General features: G+C 50.9%; 2 protein-coding genes across 4 annotated transcripts in view; both read left to right on the top strand.

Moving 5' to 3' along the window:
* On the top strand, positions 1714–16255 carry ZBED1 (zinc finger BED-type containing 1). 3 transcript variants are annotated; one of them, NM_004729.4, is made up of 2 exons: positions 1714–1873; positions 11921–16255. In NM_004729.4, exon 2 carries the CDS (start codon positions 11971–11973, stop codon positions 14053–14055), a length of 2085 nt encoding a protein of 694 aa, NP_004720.1. In that variant the 5' UTR covers positions 1714–1873; positions 11921–11970; the 3' UTR covers positions 14056–16255. The 3 variants fall into 3 exon arrangements, with proteins under 3 accessions (NP_004720.1, NP_001164607.1, NP_001164606.1); NM_001171136.2 differs by having other exon boundaries at positions 11918–16255; NM_001171135.2 differs by lacking the exon at positions 1714–1873 and adding an exon at positions 2065–2379 and having other exon boundaries at positions 11918–16255.
* The window catches only part of DHRSX (dehydrogenase/reductase X-linked), a 281471-nt gene continuing 262141 nt past the window's right edge, over positions 1714–21043 (top strand). The window contains exon 1 of the mRNA NM_145177.3: positions 1714–1873. Coding sequence (NP_660160.2) covers positions 1765–1873 — 109 coding nt within the window. The 5' untranslated portion in view covers positions 1714–1764. The remainder of the gene's footprint in view (positions 1874–21043) is intronic.

The following is a 21043-nucleotide window of genomic DNA, read 5'->3' as shown; positions in this document are numbered from 1 at the left end:
GTGGGGGGTTCCATGAAGAATTCCAGTAGGAGTCTGCTGGGGGGTCCATGTGGGATTTCAGCCTTGGCCCTGGTAAGGGTCTGGGTGGGGGTTCTGTGCTGGTCTGGGGTTCCCTGAGGGAGCCCAGGTAACTCTGTGGTTGTCTGGGGTTCCCAACCAAGGTCTGAGTAGGGGTCTGCTGTCCCAGTAGGGATCAGGGTGGGGAGGGGGCTCGTGGTCCCTGAAGTAGTCTGGAGTTCTCTGCAGGGGCCGGGAAGGGGGTCTGTGATCCCTGCAGGGTTGTTGGGGGCAGGGAAGTGGAGGGGTAGGTTTGGTGGGTGGTGTCTGTGGCCTGGCAGGAATTGGGGTGGGGTCTGTGGTCTCAGTAGGAACTGGGGTGTGGGGTCCGTGCTTGGGGCAGGTTCTGTGGTGTCAGCAGGAACTGGGGTGTGGGGTCCGTGCTTGGGGCAGGTTCTGTGGTGTCAGTACGAATTAGGGTGTGGGGTCCATGGTCCTTACAGCTGTTCAGAGTCCTCTGTGGGAGTCCTGGTCCATAATCCTGGCATGGCTCTGGGTGGTTGTCTGGGGTTCCCTATGGGGTCCAAGTCCTTGTGGTCCCTGCTGAGGTCTGCGTGGGGTTACATGATTCTGGCTAAGATGGGGAGGGTGGTTCCCGTGGTGGTCCTGGTCCCCTGCAGGGTCTGGGTAGGGGATCTGTGATCCCATGGTGGGGGTCCTGGCTGGGGCTTGAATGGGGTTCCATGGTCTTGGCTGGAGTGTGGGGTCTTGGAGAGGCAGTCCAGCTGGGGTCTGTAGTCCTGGGGGGCGTCCTGGCAGGGGTCTGTGGTCTTGTGGGGTGCTGGCTGGGGCCTGTGGTCCGGGGGGTGGTTGTGATGGAGGTGGAGGTCCTAGAAGGGGGCCCCAGTAGGGGTCTGTGATCCTGGAGAGGGGTCCTGGTGGTGGGGGTCCCAGTGGAGGTCTGTGGTCCTGGGGGGCCCTGGGAGGATCTGTGGTACTGGGGAGTCCTGGTGGAGGTCTGTAGTCCTGGTGGGGTTCTTGGTGGGGTGTCTGGGCGTGCCCCAGTGGGGGGGCCTGTGGTCTTGGGGGTCCCAGCAGGGGTCTGGGGTCCTGGGGGGTGTTCTTGGGAGGAGTCTATGGATCTGACTTGGGTGCTGGCTGGGGTCTGTAGTCCTGGGGGCGTCCTGGCTGGGGCTGTTGGTCTTGTGGTGGTGGGGATCCCTGCTGGGGTCTGCAGTCCTGCCGGGAGGGGGAAGGGTCCCTGCTGGGGTCTGTGGTCCTGGAGGAGGTGTGGAGGGTCCCTGCTGGGGTCTGTGGTCCTGGGGGGGATTCCTGGCTGGGGTCTGTGGTCCTGGCTGGGGGTGTGTGTGGGGGGTCCCTGCTGGGGTCTGTGGTCCTGAAGGGGGGGTCCTGACTGGGGTCAGTGGTCCTGGGGGCGTCCTGGCTGGGGTCTGTGGTCCTGGGGGGGGGGGTCCTGGCTGAAGTCTATGGTCCTTGCAGGGGGGGGTTCCTGGCTGGAGTCTGTGGTCCTGGGGGGGGTGTCCTGGCTGGGGTCGGTTGTCCGCTCGGGGTCCCCAGTCCTGCAGGCGGTGCGGGATCCCAGAGGGCCCGGGCGGGGTCTGGGGTTGGGGGTTCCCCGCAGGCCGGGGCGGTTCGGGGCGGGCAGGGGGCGGTCCGGGGCGCGCGCGTTTCCGCCGTCCGTCCGGGCGGGCGGGCGCAGAGTCCCGCGGGCGGCGCGGAAGCGGCGGCGGCGCGGCCGGGGCAGCCATGTCGCCATTGTCTGCGGCGCGGGCGGCCCTGCGGGTCTACGCGGTAGGCGCCGCGGTGATCCTGGCGCAGCTGCTGCGGCGCTGCCGCGGGGGCTTCCTGGAGCCAGGTCAGCGGGGCGGGGCAGGGGTCAGGGCTCCGGGGACCCGGGTGGGCGCGGGCTGGCTCGGGGGCGGGGGCGCGGGGGCTCCGCGTGACCTTGGCGAGGCGGTGGCGCTCCCGGAAGTGGGGCTGGGCGGGGGTCGAGGTGTGGCCGGGGGTGGGGGGGGGGCGGCGTGCGCGCTGGGACCTCCCCGCCCCGCGCTTTCCGTCCCCGCCGGCTCTTCTGCGCGCCTGGCCCGGCCCGACCCGGCCCGACCCTTCCCTCCCCGCGCGTGTGGCCTCCCCGCCTGTCCCGGGTCGGGCTCCAACCAAGCAGCCCCCGTGCAGCCGCCCCCCCGCGCACCCTGACACCTCCGGGCCATGGCCGGGGACCCGGGGGCTCGCACGCCCCGCGCCCAAGACATCAGGCGGCTCTGCCTGCCGCCTGCGGTCGGCCAGTGACCGCGCGCCCCCGCCAGGCCCCGGAGGGGAGGAGCGGGCGTCCCAGGGACCTCGACCCCTACCCACCCCAGGGTAAGTGAGGATGGGCCCTTCTCCGGAGGACGTCTCCAGAGGGGGCCCAGAGGCGGCTTCTCGGGCACTGGGGAGCCACGGAGGTCTGGTGGGGAGGGCAGGCCCGTTAAGTGGCAACTTTGTTTCCTTGGCCTTTGTAAACATCTCTGAGTCACAGATCTCCAACTTTGCAGGACTCGTTCACTGTCTGAACTCATCAGTGATGACCGCCACTGTGTTTTGTGTATGCAGATAACTTCTGTTCCTAGATTTGCAGGTTCAGAATTTATTATTATTATTATTTTTTGTAATAGGAAGTAGAGATGAAGTCTTGCTCTGTTGCCGAGGCTACTCTCGAACTCCTGGGCTCAAGCAGTCCTCCTGCCTCAGCCTCCCAAAGTGCTGGCATTACAGGCACCAGCTACTGCATCCGACTAATGTTTTAAAGTTTTGTAGACGGGGTCTTGCTATGTTGCTCAGGCTGGTCTCGAACTCCTGGGCTCAAGCGATCTTCCTTCCTTTGCCTCCCAAACTGTTGGGATTACAGGTGTGAGCCACCACACCTGTCTAATGTTTTAATTTTTTTGTGTAGCAATAGGGTCTTGCTACGTTGCCCAGGCTGGTCTGAAACTCATGGGCCGAAGCAATCCTCCTACCTGGGTCCCCCAAAGTGCTGGGTTTACAGGCGTGAGCCACCACGCCTGGCTAATGTTTTAAATTTTTTGTAGAGATGGCATCTCACCATGTTGCCCAGGCTGGTCTTGAACCCCTGGCCTGCAGCAATCCTCCAGTCTGGGCCTCCCAAACTGCTGGGATTACAGACAGAGCGCCACTGTGCCCAGCCCATATTCTCAATTTAAACCTAGAAACCTGTAAACAATTATTTGTGAACTGGAATAAAGGGAATGTTAATTCCATGTTAGGTTAAATGATACTTTGTTTCAAAAATAACAGTTTTCCAAAACAGAGCGTTCAGAGGGTCAGTGTGGTGGGGGTGGGGGTGTACGTTGCCCTGAATGTCTTAAATGTCCAGCCTAAGAAGAGAGCTGTTATTTCTGCCTCTGTAGACAGTTTCATGGCATGTCAGGAGGCCTCTGGAAGACACTACTGCACGCCTCTGGGAGACTGGGAGTCAGCCAGGCGAAGCGCTTGGGTGCCTTATTGTGAAATGACTTTTGACTTCCACTCTGCACCCACTGAAGGAATCCCAGGGGTCCCAGCGCCACCCTTTGAGAAGCGTGCCTGGAGTGGATGTTTTAAAATGAGCCTCTCTCTCCCGCCTCTAGCCAGAGAAAAAGAGCTTTGAGTTTTCTGTGAGCTAAGCTTTTCTTTTTCTGCCAAACTGGCCTTCAGTATTTTTTTTTAAACCCACTTAGCATAATTACAAATGCATAGAAGAAGGAGAGTAAAGGGAACTGTAGTCAGGCTTTCGGAGGGCAGGAGAGCATGTTTGTTTGAAGTAAGTAATCAGTTGCAAGGTGAACGGTTTACAGCTGCTGAACAATTGTGTGGAGTCTCGCAGAAGATTATGTTTATCCGGGCAGTTTTGCTTACAGAAAGGTCCCCTTAAACCTCCTTAAGGGCCTGTGTGGGCCCTGGCAGAAGAGGCCGGGGTTCCTGCAGCAGCTCACCAAAATGCTGGCCTTTGAAAAACTTGCTCTTTGTGCATTAGAAAAAGGGCTGGAATCTTTTTTTTTTTTTTTTTTCCCATTTACTGATTAAACAACAACAGAAGGTTGTTAAAGAGGACGAGCTTCTGGTGAAGTCACGTGTCTGCCAAGGGAATCTGTACCCGGGTGTGTATCGAAACAGAATGGCCTTCTCTAAAGATTAACTTAAGTGGCTTGCCCTCATCGAGCCCCTTCCTATGTATGGATTAAAAATAATTTTCGATACCAGTGGAGGAATGCTGTTGTCCTTGGTCTGCTGGTGGCCAGCTTCCTAAACGGCATTTTTTATTTGCTTCTCTCTGGTAGGCCTTCGCTGTTGGTGAGGAAACATTGAACTTTGTCCAGGGCATTTGAGCTAAGCTGTTTGAATAACCAAGAGGGCCAATTTCCCCACTGCAGATTGGAAGCAAGGGCAGTTTTTTCTTAGAACTTCCAAATGGAGCGTGTTCTTCTTAGGTATCGTACAAAGGAAATGCCTGGGTTACACCTTCCACATGAGTTGACTTACATGGTATGAGAAGGAAGAAATTGTGGCTGGAATCCACTCCTAAATGGTGTCTTCTTACAGTTCATCATGGAAAAACAAGATAATTACAAATTAATCATAGATGTTGGTCATGCCTTTACAGAGGGGGTTTAGAAGCAAATTGAGAATTCCCATAAGAGGGTCTGTCTCTGTGTTCTTAAGACTATATCCATGCGGCCCATTCAGTAAGTTGTATCTGTTGGTTGGATTTTAAAATAGATGATTTAATCAGTGCATTTAATATCCTAATATGGCATCAAAACTTGAACATTGATATGGCCTGAAATCTGTTGAAAATGATCATATTGAGTAAAGAAAGTCTCTACCCACCGGTATTAATAACAGGGTGATCTGTTTAGAAATTACATTTTCTCTGATACATCAATGAGTTTTGCAAAGGAGAGAAAATTGATGGTACCTGTAGTCAAGTCCAGTTCCAATACTGCCACAGAATTTTTCTTAAAAGTTCTATTGTAAATAATAGGCCACAGAATATTCCTTCACTTTCTGGGATGCAAAATGGATTCGTAAATGCTGTACCACAGGAGTGAGTATTTACAAAAAATATGCCAACTGGCCCACTTACAAAGCTATTTATAGAAGTCCTACTTTTCAAACTATTTTTTTTTTAACCTGTAAAGGGAAAGTTAATTCTTGTTGGTTTTATGAGTAGTGAACAGTGGCTATTAGAAATCAGGTAGAAGTAAAAACAGCAGTTTTCCAACTTCTTCTTCTTTTTCTTGAGACCAAGTTTCGCTTTTGTTTCCCAGGCTGGAGTGCAATGGCGTGATCTCAGCTCACCACAACCTCTGCCTCCCGGGTTCAAGCGATTCTCCTGCCTCAGCCTCCCGAGTAGCTGGGATTACAGGCATGTGCCACCATGCCTGGCTCATTTTGTATTTTTAGTGAGATGGGGTTTCTCCATGTTGGTCAGGCTGGTCTCAAACTCCTGACCTCAGGTGATAGTCCACCTTGGCATCCCAAATTGCTGGGATTACAGGGGTGAGCCCCTGCCCCCGGCCTCCAATTCCTTGATCATAGAATCTCTTTCAAAAAAAATGAGGACCCCAGACAGTTTTTGTTTTTGTGGATTATAACAGTCAATAAGTCATCCTGTTAGACATTAAAACAGAAATTTAAAACATATTTAACAATCTATTTAAAAGTAATGGTAACAGGCCAATTACATGTTACATACAAAAATGTATGTAATATATTTATTGTTTTTATATTTTATTTTTATTAAATATATATATTTTTAGAATAATTTATACTTTTCTATAAATATAAAATACAAATAAGTTATATTTATATAATTTAGATGTAAATAAAAACAATTGATATTTTTATATAAATATATAAATGTGTACACTTATGGGGCACAGTGTGATGCTTTGCTGTATGTTTGCATTGTGGAATAATTAAACTAATATCTATCACCCGCTATTTTTCCTTTGCGGTGGGAACATTTAAAATCTCTTTTAGCTATTTTTGTTTTTTATTTCCATAGGTTATTGGGGAACAGGTGGTGTTTGATTCCATGAGTAAGTTTTTTAGTGGTGATTTGTGAGATTCTGGTGCACCCATCACCCAAGCAGTATACACTGCACGCAAGACATTTAAAATCTCTATTGGCGGGCCGGGTGCGGTGGCTCATGCCTATAATCCCAGCACTTTGGGAGGCTGAGGCGGGTGGATTGCCTGAGCTCAGGAGTTTGAGACCAGTCTGGGCAATACAGTGGAACCCCATCTCTACTAAAATACAAAAAATTAGCTGGGTGTGGCAGTGTGCGCCTGTAGTCCCAGCTACTTGGGAGGCTGAGGCAGGAGAATGGTGTGAACCTGGGAGGTGGAGGTTGCAGTCAGCCAAGATTGCGCCACTGCACTCAAGCCTGGGCAACAGGGCGAGACTCCGTCTCAAAAAAACCAAAAAAACAAAAAAACAAAAACAAAAATAAAAACCTCTTTTAGCTATTTTGAAATATGTAATACACTATTAACTATCGCCACCACGCTGTGCAGTAGGTCACTGAAACGGATTCCTCCTGTCGAACAGAAACTTGGTACCCTTTGGCCATGTGCTGTATGTTTTTTAAAAGAAAAATGATTGTCATTTCCAAAATAACAAAAACCTAGGGAGAAGAGTGGCTGAGTTTTAGGGTTTTGTCAGTCTCATCCATAAAGGGACGGATGGCGGCTGGCTCCTTCCTCTGCTTCTTCACACTGGTCTCTTGCGACGTGTCGTTCTGGTAAGAGTCATGTGAGGCACATCCACTGGCCTCTCATGGATGTGCAATTGGAAACGTGAAATCGCCGGCCCCCTGAGAGCGTTTTGGGGAGTGTCCCCCCCAAACCCCCCTCCCCCCGCACTGGGGATGCTGCACCAGTCTTGAAGAATGAGGCAGTGAGAGGCTGGTTTACAGCAACCTTTATTCGTGGCCTTGTGTGCTCGGAAGCGCTGCAAGGGAGGAGGAAGGAGGAAGGAGGGTACTCACTGCAGAAGGTCAGCTCTGCTGTGGCTGTTACGTGGGTTCAGGTGGAACCCACCTACTGTGTGGACGGTTCTTTACCTGGGAATCCCATGGAATTCTGACAGCAGGAGACGTGGGAGGGAGCTTCTTGTTTCTCCTTCCAGGAGTCACTTGGTTAGGGGTTTGGGAATTTTGGCTCTTAGTACAAAACTTCACTCCAGGTACTAGACCTGTTTCAGCCAAATGATGATCATCATAATAGAATAGAAACCTTTGTTCACCTAAATAATAACAATAATATTAATAATAATAGAATATAAACCTTTGTTCATGGTACTGGGGCGTCTTTCAGCCCAATAATAATAACAACAATAGGAATAATGATAATAATGATAAAATATAAACCTTTGCTTCACGTCCTGGAACGTCTTTCAGCCAAATAATAATAATAATATTAATGATAATAGAATATAAACCTTTGTTCAGGGTACTGTGACTTCTTTCAGCCCAGTAATAATAATAATAATAGTAATAATGATAATAATGATAGAATATAAACCTTTGCTTCATCTCCTGGAACGTCTTTCAGCCAAATAATAACAATAATAATAATAATGACAATAGAATATAAACCTTTGTTCAGGGTACTGTGACCTCTTTCAGCCCAGTAATAATAATAACAGTAGTAATAATGATAATAATGATAGAATATAAACCTTTGCTCCAGGTCCTGGGAGCTCTTTCAGCCAAATAAGAATAATAATAGAATATAAACCTTTGTTCACAGTACCAGGACCTCTTTCAGACCAACAATAATGACAGTAATAATAATTATAATGATAATAGAATATAAACTTTTCTTCTAGGTACTGGGACCTCTTTCAACCAAATAATAATAGTGGAATATAAAACTTGGCTCTAGGTACCAGAACCTTTTTTCAGCCAAATAGTAATAATAAGAATAGTATTAATAGAAAACAGACCTTTGGTCCAGGTACTGGGACACCTGTGAGCCAAATAATAATAATAATGATAATAATAGAACATAAACCTTTGACTGAAGTGCCAGAACCTTTTTCAGCTAAATAATAATAATAAAATATAAACTTTTGTTCCAGGTACCCGGACTTCTTTCAGCCTAATAATAATCATAGAATATAAACCTTTACTACAGGTCCTGGCACCTTTCTCAGCCAAATAGTAATAAAATAGAATATAAACTTTTGTTCTGTTACTGGGACCTCTTTCAGCCTAATAACAAAAGTAATAATAATAGAATAAAAACCTTTGCTCCAGGTTCTAGAACCTCTTTCAGCCTAATAATAATAATAATGATAGAATGAAAATTTTTGTTCCAGGTGTCGAGACCTCTTCCAGCCTAATAATAATAATAATGTAATAATATAAGCCTTTGCTACAGGTACCAGGACCTGTTTCAGCCAAATAATAATAACAGCAATGATAATAGAATATAAACCTTGGCCCCAGGCACTGGGACTTCTTTCAGTCAAACAATCACAATAATAATAATAATAATAGAATATGGATGTTTGCTCCAGCTTTCAGGACCTCTTTCAGACAGATAATAATAACCGAGTACAAACTTTTCTTCCAGGTATCGGGACCTCTTCCAGCCTAAAAACAATAGTAATAATAGCATATATATCTTTTTTTTTGTTTTCTTCTTTCTTTGAGACGGAGTTTTGCGCTTGTTGCCCAGGCTACAGTGCAATGGCGCCATCTCGGCTCACTGCAACCTCTGCTTCCCGGGTTCAAACGATTCTCGTGCCTCAGCCTCCCGAGTAGCTGGGACTACAGGCATGTGCCACTACCACGCCCGGCTAATTTTGTATTTTTAGTAGAGGAGGGGTTTCACCATGTTGTCCAGGGTGGTCTCAAACTCCTGACCTCAGATGATCCACCCACCTTGGCCTCCCAAAGTGCTGAGAGTACAGGCGTGAGCCGCTGTGCCTGGTGCCAGCATAAAAATCTTTGCTACAGGTACTGAGACCTTTTTCAGCCTAATAATAATAACAACCGTAACAATAATAATTAGAATATAAACCTTTGTTACTGGTACTGGGACCTCTTCCAGCCTAATCTTCATAATAATAAAAATAATAATAATAATGGAATTGAAACCTTTCCTTCAGGTTCCAGAACCGCTTTCAGCCACATAATAATAATAATAATGATAATAATAATAATAAATAGAATTTAAACTTTTGTTTGAGGACTGGGACCTCTTTCAGCCCAATAGCACAAATAATAATAATGGAATGTAAACCTTTTCCTCCCAATTACCAAAACCTGTTTCAGCCAAATAATAATATGATGATGATGATGATGGAGGATCTGATACAGCTGTGTCCTGTCACTCAGGTCGGACTTAGGAGGCCTCTTGAGATTCTTTTCCCCCTCCGTTGACTGTGTAATCCAGGGGCCCCACCCTAACTCGGCTGCAGAAGATGCAGTTTGGGGGTTCCTCGTTTTGTGGAAGTCCCGGTCATGTTATTCATTCTCTCAGCACCTTAGAACAAACCAGGGTGCTGGCATTGGCCACAGGACCCCCCTCCTTGCACCCCAGTCTTGGGAAGTGGCACTGCTGGGCTCTGGCAATGCCCAGCTCACCTGGCACGTGGCGGCGTCTCCCTAAAAAGCACTGGGCGGGCACCGTTGACGGAAAGCCAGCAACGCAGGCCGCGACTGCCCGTGAAGACGGGGGGCCTTTCTAAGACCTCCACTCATTATTTCGGGCAAAATTAACCTTCAGAATACCTTGCTTTAATAAAGTACCAGAAACCGGAGGGCTTAAAACCATAGCTTATTCTCTCCCAGTTCTGGAGGCCAGAAGTCTGTAATCAAAGTGTCTCAGGGCTGCGCTCCCTCCGGAGGCTTACGCGGAGGGTGCTTCCTGCCTCTCCCAGCTCCTGGGGGCTCCTGGCGTCCCTGGGCTTCAGGCCAGCCACATCATCACTCTAGTCTCTGCCTCTGTCTCCATGTGGCCTTCTCTGTGTCTGTGTCTCCTCTTCTGTCTTTTATAAGGACATCTGTCACTGCATTTAGGGCTCACTCAAATCCCGGATGATCTCATCTCCAGATCCTTAACTCATGAGATCTACAAAATTTCTAATAACCAAGTAAGATCTCATTCCACATCCTGGGCTTTAGGCTGTGGACAGATCTTTCTGCGGGCCACTGTTCAATCCACCATGATTTTATCCAGTTCATTGTGGAGGCTCTAGAGGAGGATCCTTCCTGCCTCTCCCAGCTCCTGGGGGCTCCAGGCGTTCTGGGTTTGTGGCCGCATCACTCCAGTCTCGGCCTCTGTCTCCATGTGGTCTTCTCCTGTGTGTCCGTGTCTCCTCATCTGTCTTCTATTAAGGACACTGGTCACTGCATTTAGGACCACCTCAATTGAGAATAATCTCATCTAAAGATCCTTACCTTCATTATTAATACATCTGCAAAGACCCTTTTTCCAAACAAGGTCCCATACACAAGTACCAGGTGGATACAGATTTTCTTTGGTAGGGGAGGACGCTTTTCAACCCACTATAGTCATCATTGAAATATGCCTCCTTGCACTGACTGTATCCCAACACTCTGAACGTGCCTGGGTGGTGCATTTTGATATTTACCCTCCTGAGCACTGTACTGGACACTTGGAGACACAATTACACCTTTTAACAAAGCCCAGCTGTCATTTTGGGCAACCCAGTCACAGAGGTGGCCTCCTGAGTGGCAGCTGGAAGGGCCTGTATGTGTGAGCATTCAACCTCAACAGGAACCCTGGGGACTGGCTTCTGGGTCATCTAAGCCTCCACACCGACTGCCTGATGTTTGCACAGGTGTGTGATATTTGCCCAGTTGGGCCTTTCTGCCCACAGGTGTGACTGGACACAATGGGCATTTTGAGAAGTTCCAGGGATTGAGAAATCCATGCTTCTTCAGACGTGCTTACAGATCACGGATGCACCTGTGACGTTCCACATGGCTTCATTTTAAACCATAAAGTTTGAGAAGAGTGTGCAGTGCCTCTTAGCCATAGGAAAGCTGGCTTTAGTCAGATGGAGGTCCTGTTTGGCTTCTTTAATGCAGTGAATGAAGCTCAGGTGGCATTCAGAGAGTCCTGCTGTGATGGTTGGCAGTGGGGGGTCTGCCTGGCCACTTGTGGATTCTTCTATGTAGGCTTCATCCCCAGAAAAGATCTACGCAGCTTTCCCACGTGGCAGGTGCTTGGGAAACTCTTAGGACAGGAACAACAAGCCCCTGCGATGACAGAGGCATTGTCAGGCTGGGCGCGGTGACTCACGCCTGTCATCCCAGCACTTTGGGAGGCCAAGGCGGGTGGATCACCTGAAGTCAGGAGTTCGAGACCAGCCTGACCAACATGGTGAAACCCTGTCTCTACTAAAAATACAAAAATTAGCCAGGCGTGATGGCAGGTGCCTGTGATCCCAGCTACTGAGGAAGCTGAGGCAGGAAGATCGCTTGAACCCGGGAGGCGGAGGTTGCAGTGAGCTGAGATCACGCCATTGCACTGCAGCCTGGGTGACAGAGCGAAACTCTGTCTCAAAAAAAAAAAAAAAAAAAAACTAAAGGCACTTGTCAGGTACAGCCCTGCAAAAATGCCGTGCTCACTCGCAAACCTGTATGTTGACACGTGCGGCATCGCTGCAGTCGGATTAACGTGGAAGAAAGAGCGTATTCCTGCGCTAGGTTCCCTCCTCCACTCTGCAAAAGTGACCCGCAAGGAAGGTCCAGCCGTCCGGCCCCAGTGCCCTTTGGTTGAAAGCGGAGCTGCCCCGGCACCCTGTCTGTCTCCCCGGCAGGGCTCCCGTGCGTGCCTGGGTCCCTTCTCATGCTGTGTTTGTCTTGGCCCTTCTCAGCAGGTCCCCACGCATGAGCAGCCGTCCAGCAGGCAGGCTCCGGTGGAGAAGCAATGGAGAATAAAAGCCTGGAGAGCTCCCAGACAGACCTGAAGCTGGTGGCCCACCCCCGCGCCAAGAGCAAGGTGTGGAAGTATTTCGGCTTCGACACCAACGCCGAGGGATGCATCCTGCAGTGGAAGAAAATCTACTGCCGCATCTGCATGGCCCAGATCGCCTACTCCGGAAACACCTCCAACCTGTCCTACCACCTGGAGAAGAACCACCCCGAGGAATTCTGCGAGTTCGTCAAGAGCAACACGGAGCAGATGCGTGAAGCCTTCGCCACCGCCTTCTCCAAGCTGAAGCCCGAGTCGTCCCAGCAGCCCGGGCAGGACGCGCTGGCCGTCAAGGCCGGCCACGGCTACGACAGCAAGAAGCAGCAGGAGCTGACGGCCGCCGTGCTGGGCCTCATCTGCGAGGGGCTGTACCCAGCCTCCATCGTGGACGAGCCCACCTTCAAGGTGCTGCTGAAGACGGCCGACCCCCGGTATGAGCTGCCCAGCCGGAAGTACATCTCTACCAAGGCCATCCCTGAGAAGTACGGGGCCGTCCGGGAGGTGATCCTGAAGGAGCTGGCCGAGGCCACCTGGTGTGGCATCTCCACCGACATGTGGAGGAGTGAGAATCAGAACCGCGCCTACGTCACGCTGGCCGCCCACTTCCTGGGCCTGGGCGCCCCCAACTGCCTGTCCATGGGCTCCCGCTGCCTGAAGACCTTCGAGGTGCCCGAAGAGAACACGGCGGAGACCATCACGCGAGTGCTCTATGAGGTCTTCATCGAGTGGGGCATCAGCGCCAAGGTCTTCGGGGCCACCACCAACTATGGCAAGGACATCGTGAAGGCGTGCTCCCTGCTGGACGTCGCAGTGCACATGCCCTGCCTGGGCCACACCTTCAATGCCGGCATCCAGCAGGCCTTCCAGCTCCCGAAGCTGGGGGCGCTGCTGTCGCGCTGCCGCAAACTGGTGGAGTACTTCCAGCAGTCTGCCGTGGCCATGTACATGCTCTATGAGAAGCAGAAGCAGCAGAACGTGGCCCACTGCATGCTGGTGAGCAACCGCGTCTCCTGGTGGGGGAGCACGCTGGCCATGCTGCAGCGCCTCAAGGAGCAGCAGTTCGTCATCGCCGGGGTCTTGGTGGAGGACAGCAACAACCACCACCTCATGCTGGAGGCCAGCGAGTGGGCCACCATCGAGGGGCTGGTGGAGCTCCTGCAGCCCTTCAAGCAGGTGGCCGAGATGCTGTCGGCCTCCAGGTACCCCACCATCAGCATGGTGAAGCCGCTGCTGCACATGCTCCTGAACACCACGCTCAACATCAAGGAGACCGACTCCAAGGAGCTCAGCATGGCCAAGGAGGTCATCGCCAAGGAGCTTTCCAAGACCTACCAGGAGACGCCCGAGATCGACATGTTTCTCAACGTGGCCACCTTCCTGGACCCCCGCTACAAGAGGCTGCCCTTCCTCTCCGCCTTCGAGCGGCAGCAGGTGGAGAATCGCGTGGTGGAAGAGGCCAAGGGCCTGCTGGACAAGGTCAAAGACGGCGGCTACCGGCCGGCTGAGGACAAGATCTTCCCGGTGCCCGAGGAGCCTCCCGTCAAGAAGCTCATGCGGACATCCACGCCGCCGCCCGCCAGCGTCATCAACAACATGCTGGCCGAGATCTTCTGCCAGACAGGCGGCGTGGAGGACCAGGAAGAGTGGCATGCCCAGGTGGTGGAGGAGCTGAGCAACTTCAAGTCCCAGAAGGTGCTTGGCCTCAACGAAGACCCCCTCAAGTGGTGGTCAGACCGCCTGGCCCTCTTCCCCCTGCTGCCCAAGGTGCTGCAGAAGTACTGGTGCGTGACGGCCACGCGCGTCGCCCCTGAGCGTCTCTTCGGATCCGCCGCCAACGTGGTCAGCGCCAAGAGGAACCGGCTGGCTCCCGCGCACGTGGACGAGCAGGTGTTTCTGTATGAGAACGCCCGGAGTGGGGCAGAGGCGGAACCCGAGGACCAGGACGAGGGGGAGTGGGGCCTGGACCAGGAGCAGGTGTTCTCCTTGGGGGATGGCGTCAGCGGCGGTTTCTTTGGCATTAGGGACAGCAGCTTCCTGTAGCGAGGAAGCGTGTTGTCTTACAAGTCATCCCCGCAGCAGCCCATTGGATGCTTTGCTGTAAATACTTACCCGGTCAGCTTGGTTTTGAACCTCAGAGACCATCCACTGTCTTTGACACCTAGAAGGTGGAAAAAGGAAAGAGATTTGAGAAGTGAGAGAGGGTCGGGGGCGGTGGCTCCTGTCTATAATCGCAGCACTTTGGGAGGCCGAGGTGGGCAGATCAGCTGAGGTCAGGAGATCGAGACCAGCCTGGCCAACATGGCGAAACCCCGTCTCTACTAAAAATACAAAAATTAGCCAGGACTGATGGCATGTGCCTGTAATCCCAGCTTCTGGAGGCTGAGGCCAGAGAATCGCTTGAACCTGGGAGGTGGAGGTTGCAGTAAGCTGAGATCGCTGCACTCCAGCCTGGGCGACAAGAGCGAGACTCTCTCAAAAAGAAAAAAGAAGACACAAGAGAGGTGGCTTTGAGTGGGTTTCCTTTCCTCCCCTATTCCCGGGGCCCGGACGACTTCTGCTTGGGAACTGCCAACGCTTCTGCTTGGGAATTGCGTGCAGCAGAGCCTAGAGGAGCTGTTCCTTCCTTCACAGATACTTAAGACCTCCACCATGTCTGATTCGAGTTCTCCCTGGGAGGGTTTAGAAGAAACGCAGGAACATTCTGGGTGGCGTCGAAGGAGCCTTTCCCGATCATCATGTGTGACTTCTGCGAGGTCCAGATCACTGAATTCATGTTTACATTCTCGTGCAAGCAGGGACCTCTTGCTTCTGAGAAATGGGGAAGAGACCTTTTAGCCAAAATGCCCTTCTTAAAAAGAGAGACCTTTTTTTTTAATGTTCGGTTAAAAATGTGACAGATGAGTACAAAAATGCAGACACTTAACAAAAAGCAAACAGAAAAAAAAGTGTGGAATGTGTTGTATTTTCGACAGGTTGCTGCCAGAGAGCCTGCTTCCTGCTGCCTGCCGAAATTTCACTTTGCGGAGTTGGTCCTTAAAACTGGGCGGTGGCCGGGCGTGGTGGCTCACGCTGAGGTCAGGAGTTCGAGACCAGCCTGGCCAACCAACATGGTGAAACCTCGTGTCTACTAAAAATACAAGAAACTAGCCAGATGCGGTGGCACCCGCCTGTAATCCCAGCTACTCGGGAGGCTGAGGCGGAAGATTCGCTTGAGCCCAGGAGGTGGAGGTTGCAGTGAGCCAAGACTACGCCACTGCACTCCAGCCTGGAGGCCAGAGTGAGACTCCGTCTCAAAACAAAACAAAAGTGGGTGGCTCACGGGTCCGGAGGTTATGTCTTCGGTGTCTCAGCCCTAAAAGTCCAGTTCCCCCGTGCGGCCAGCTTTTCCACATAAGGTGTTTTTGATTTGATTACCGGAAAGGACTCTTGATTCTTCTCTTTTAAACTGAATACCATAGGGGAAATGAATTTTAAAATATTGCCCCCGGAGGGGTTTTCCGTGGCTGGATTCCTGCGAGTTGCTTTCAGTCATTCAGGGAAACAGAAAGACGTTTTCCAACATGTAGAACTGCTTTTTAACTGGAGGAAAAATACTTCAGGAGGCTTAGCATATTGCTTGGATTCTACGTGCAGCGGGTTCTCTGCCTCCGTGAAGACAAGCTGGGCTGGGGAGAACGGTGTCTAGGAGGGATGACCCCACTCAGCTCCAGGCAGTGTTCTGCCGAGACCCCAAGAACTCGGGGTGTCAGAGGGCAAAGGAACTACCTGCCTTTCACGGCTGCTGACTTCTCAGGGCTGCAAGCAGCACAGAATGTTATCCTTACGTCCTGAGCCGGTTTAAGTCTGTGGAAAAGGAAGCACGGGAGAAATCCACGTAACCTTTGCTTTCTTTTTAAGGGAAGCGGTTCCGCCGTGAACTTGGAACCCTCAGCTCCGGGTGTTCTCGGCAGAAGGGCAGCTGGAAGGGACACAGTGGGGCAGGCTTTGGGGTTGCTCCCTGTTCTGCCCCGAGGCCGGGGACGCAGGGCAGCCCACGCCTCCGTGGGCTCCATTCTGTAGCATTGCCAGCGTTCTCTTCACGTCTCTAACAATCCTTCGCTTTTCCTCACTCACGTGGAAATGTGAACTGTCCCGGCTCTGTCTTCATTTTTATTTTTAAGCCATCGTTCCCCTCCTGAACGGTTGCCCCTTATTTAATGCTGTAAAGTTGGACTGTTGTTCAATAAACCAGAGCAATGCATTAGCTCCTCATTCATTTGTCTGCCGCGTGTCCGTCTGGACTGCAGTTTGTCTGAACCCCTTGATCCTGGGAGTGGAGGGAGGTTTATCATTATTATTATTTTTATTTTTGTTGTGGTCCTTGTTGAAAGCAACTTTTTCCAGGGCACCCACGGTCAGTTCTGTGCTCCTCTTTCTTGTCTGTAAATCCTCAAGTTATGATGTACTTTCGGGTGTTTTGGCATCAAAATTTCTGAGTGAATAAAGCCGGCAGCTGGTGAAAGTGTTCCCCGGGAGCAGAGATTTTTGCCGGTTCCTTCACTTAGTGGATAGTTGTATAAACGGAGGCCCCATGGACGAGGCAGCCTGGATGGATCCGGATGGCATCAGCGCCTTCCCTCTCCCCCCAGCCTCCTTATCACCCCTCTCTTCCTGTCTTCCTCACCTCCTCTCACATGGTCTCTTCCTTCCCTCCTCCTTCCGTCCAACCCTCCCTCTCTTCTTCAGCCAACAAATCCTTCCTTTCTTCCTTCTTTCCTTCCTTCCTTCCCTCCCATCCTTGTCTCTTCTTCTCTCCCTTCCTTCCCTCCCTTCCCTTCTTTCTTTCTCTCCCTTCCTTCCTTCTCTCCCTTCCTTCCTTCTCTCCCTTCCTTCCTTCTCTCCCTTCTCTCCCTTTTCTCCCTTCCTTCCTTCTCTCCCTTCCTTCCCTCCCTTCTCTCCCTTTTCTCCCTTCCTTCTCTCCGTTCCCTCCCTCCCCTCCCTCTCTGCCTCCCTTTCCTCCCCTCCCTCCTTCCCCCATCCCTCCCTCCCTCCTTCCCTCTCCTCCCTCCCTCCTTCCTTCCCTCTGTCCCTCCCTGTCTCCCTCCCTTCCTCCTTCCTTCCTTTCCTCCCTCCCTCTGTCCCTCCCTCCCTTTTCTCCCTCCCTCCCTTCCTCTTTCGTTTTCCTTCCATCCCTTTTTCCTTCCTCCCTCCCTCTTTTCCTCCCTCCTGAGAAAACAATGGCCCCCAAGAAACACAGGAAGGCCGGGATGTGCACCTCTGCCCAGACTTGCCCTTTCCAAGTGCTGTTGGTTGACTGCCTGTCCTTGGGCATCATTAAAATGCCGAAATTTCTCTTTCTTGCACGTTTTGGGTTGAAAGGGGTTCATTTTCAGTCCTCATAACTAAGCATTTGCATCGTGATGTTCATTTAAGTGGGACATGTTTACACGTTTTTCCCATTAGGAGTAATTCTAGTCCTTGAGGGTTTCTTACAGAGACATTTCCCTAACCCCGACGGTTCTCATCCCAGCCTGTGTGGCACTCCTTCCGCACAGTGGTGGGATTTTTCGGTTCGGTTTTGTTTTCACGCTTGCATCTGGCTGCACAGCCCTAACTCTGAGCTGGTTGTTTTTGTTTCCCCCCCACTTTGCAGAATTGCCTGCTTCGAACTGTTTTCCCAGCAGGCCTCTGAAGGGTGAGGAAAACAGCTTGGGGAAAGTGAGAAAAAGGTTTCGGATGTTTTAGTAAAGAGGCAGCTGGTGGGAAGGAGCCGGTTGGGCTGTTTCTGGGGTGCCGAAATCTCGGTGGTGACGTTCATTTGCTCGTGAGTGCAGAGGAGGCCCAGAGACCGGGTTCCTGGCGCAGCCAGCTCCTGCTTTTGTTCCGACCATCTTCCTGCGCCTTCTGCGAGTCTCAGATGTGCTTGGGCAGCAGTTCTACTGTTTTCCCCTCTGTGATCTCAGGCCCGCCGCCCCGTCCTTTCCCAGTGATTTCTGCTCCGTCAAATCGTGGGGCTCACCTGAGAGTTTTATAAAATGAACTCGCCATGCCCCTGCCTGGTGAACAGAGAATGCAAACTCTCACAGGACCGTCTGCAGCAAAACGGCAGTGTTTTGCTCATTTCTTCAGACGACGAAAACAGCAGGGTTTGGCTCGTTTCTTCCAGATTTTCTCAAACTGCATGAGTTCCTTTCTGAGCAACTTCTGGGAAGCTTTCGGGTTTCAGGGCTTTGCAGCCAGGCTCCTTCCTAGCTGCGGCTGCCTGTCCTTTTGTGTTGCAGTCAGATGCGGGAGGTCCTTGGCATGAGTACCCTGATGGTGTCAACTTTAAGGGGTCAGAGAGGAAATATTTTTGGCTCCGCGGACCATGCATTCTCTGTCTCTCAACAACTTAGTTTTGCCGTTGTGTCTAAAAGCATCCATTGCTGGGTGTGGTGGCTCACATCTGTCATCCCAGCACTTTGGGAGGCCGAGGCGGGTGGATCGCCTGAGGTCAGGAGTTCAAGACCAGCCTGGCCAACATGGTGAAACCCCATCTCTACTAAAAATACAAACATTAGCTGGGCATGGTGGTGGGCACCTGTAATCCCAGGTACTGAGGCTGAGGCAGGAGAATCGCGTGAACCAGGGAGGCGGAGGTTGTAGTGAGCTAAGATCGTGCCACTGCGCTCCATCCTGGGCGACAAGAGCGAGACTCCGTGTATTCCACTCCCACTTCGTGGGCACTAAATTTTATATAAATGTTGTGTCAAGAAATATTATTGCTCTGTTGACTTCTTTTTTTCCCCCAACCATTAAGAAATTCAGAAAAAAAATGTACGAATGTAAACACTGTTCTTGGTGAGTGGGCCTTCCAAAAATAACCGCTGGACTTTGTTGAAACTACTTTTTTTTTTTTTTTTTTTTGCCACTTTTTCCCTTTTTTTTCTCGAGGCACCAATTGGAATCCACTTATTTGTCCTGGTTTGAGAAACAGCTCAGATCGCACACTCTGGGCTCTGTGTTTCTTTAGGTAACACACGTGAGGTTTTTGTCACTGGAATTCAGTAATCTGTGTTAATATTATCACAAAAGAACCGGGGGGCATTTGTGTCTTCTCAGAATTGCTGATTAAAACAGCTGCATGGCCAGGTGCAGTGGCTCTCATGCCTGTGATCCCAGCACTTTGGGAGGCCGAGGCAGGCGGATCGCTTGAGCCCAGGAGTTTGAGACCAGCCTGGGCAACATGGCCAAACCTCATCCCTACTAAAAATACAAAAAATTAGCCAGGCATGGAGGCGCATGTCTGTAGTCAGTCCCAGCTACTCAGGAGGCGAAGGTGGGAGGATCACTTGAGCTTGGGAGTTGGAGGCTGCAGTGAGCTGTGAACATACCACTGCACTCCAGCCTGGAAAATAAAGCAAGAGATGCTGCCTCTAAAAATAATAATAATAATAATAAAAATTAGCCAAACATGGTGGCACGCATGTGTGATCACAGCTACTTGGGAGACTGAGGTGGGAGGATCGCTGGAGCCCGGAAAGTCGAGGCTGCAGTGAGCTGAGATTGCATCACTGTCGTGCAGCCTGGGCAAAAGAGTGAGACCCTGTCTCTAAATAAATAAATAAATGAGTTCACGATTAAGCAGAAGTTGTGCTTGTTCTGCCAGGATTTCAGTTGGGTTCTTTGTGCCCTAATTTACGTGAGCTAGTAGGTTGTGCGTTATCTTAGAGGGCTTGCATGAAAGAAAGAGGGTAGCCTTTCTTTTCCCTGTTTTGGTAGCATTGCTGAGGTGGCTTTTGGCTGACGGGTGGACCCGTGGGTGCAGATGTTTTGATGCAGAAGGAATGATTGCCTTTTCACATTCAGGCTCCAACTGGCTTTTAGCTTGTGCGTTCTTACCCTGGGGTGTTCGAGGTCACCGGACTCCTATTTTATTTGTGTTTAACTGGAAAGGCAGGAACTCTGAGAACGTATCAAATAGGCAGTTACTGCAGGATTTCTAGAATTTAAATTGCTTCCAAAACTGTATCCACAAGCTAAGAATTATGTTTAGGTTTTAAAAGGTGTTGGTTTGCTTCTTACATGTTTAAATTCTTGAGGGAAAGAAATGCAAAGAATAATAAAGTTTCATGATACAAAAATGGTATGAGACCGGGCACAATGGCTCACACCTGTCATCCCAGCACTTTGGGAGGCTGAGGCAGGAGGATGATTTTTGAGCCTGAGTTTGAGATCAGCCTGGGCAAACAGCGAGATCCTGTGCCTACAAAAATAAAATAAAAATAGGCTGGGTGTGGTGGCTCATGCTTGTAATACCTGCACTTTGGGAGGCTAAGTCAGTAGGATCACTTGAACTCAGGGGTTTGAGACCAGCCTGGTCAACATACTGAGACCTTGTCTCTAGTAACAATAAAAAAATTAGCTGGACATAAGGTGTGCATTTGTAGTCCCAGTTACACAGGAGGCTGAGGTGGGAGGATCACTTGAGCCAGGGAGTTGGAGGCTGCAGTGAAATGTGATCGCACCACTGCACTCCAGCCTGTGCAACAAGGAGAGAGATGCTGTCTCTAAAAAAAAAAAAAAAGCCAGACGTGGTGGCACACGTGTGTGGTCACAGCTACTTGGGAGGCTGAGGCTGAAGGATCGCTTGAGCCCAAGGAGGCTGAGGCTGCCATAAACTACGATCATGCCACTGCACTCCAGGCTGGGCAATAGCCTGGGCGACTGTCTCAACCAAAATAAATTTAAAAAGATAGGAAATTTCAATGTGAAAATCAGTGTCCCCCAGAACGTTCCATTTCTTCCCAGCTGGGCTATTTTTGGAGTTCCATGGGGAGCCGGCTCAGTGCAGTTTGCATGTACTCGGGAGGATGAGCCCTGCCATGGTGTGTGTTAGGGGACAGCCTGATCTCACCAACCCTCCTGAGCAGGCCCAGCCCTCCGAGTAATAACTGGGAACACTCGCCGCTTTGTGAGACGACCTCGTGTGCTCACTGGAAGGTCATCTCTTCTGGTCCATGCTGCAGTGTGGATACCATTTTTTTTTTTTAAGACAGTTTCACTCTTG

The sequence above is a fragment of the Homo sapiens genome, chromosome X, assembly GCF_000001405.40.
Source record: "Homo sapiens chromosome X, GRCh38.p14 Primary Assembly".
NCBI classification, from domain to species: Eukaryota; Metazoa; Chordata; class Mammalia; order Primates; family Hominidae; genus Homo; species Homo sapiens.
Note: the sequence above shows the minus strand (reverse complement) of the source record. Positions and strands in the feature narration are given on the sequence as shown.

What these genes read in the sequence shown, in the direction of transcription:
- ZBED1 (NM_004729.4), top strand. Translation starts at nt 11,971, where the DNA reads ATGGAGAATAAAAGCCTGGAGAGCTCCCAGACAGACCTGAAGCTGGTG.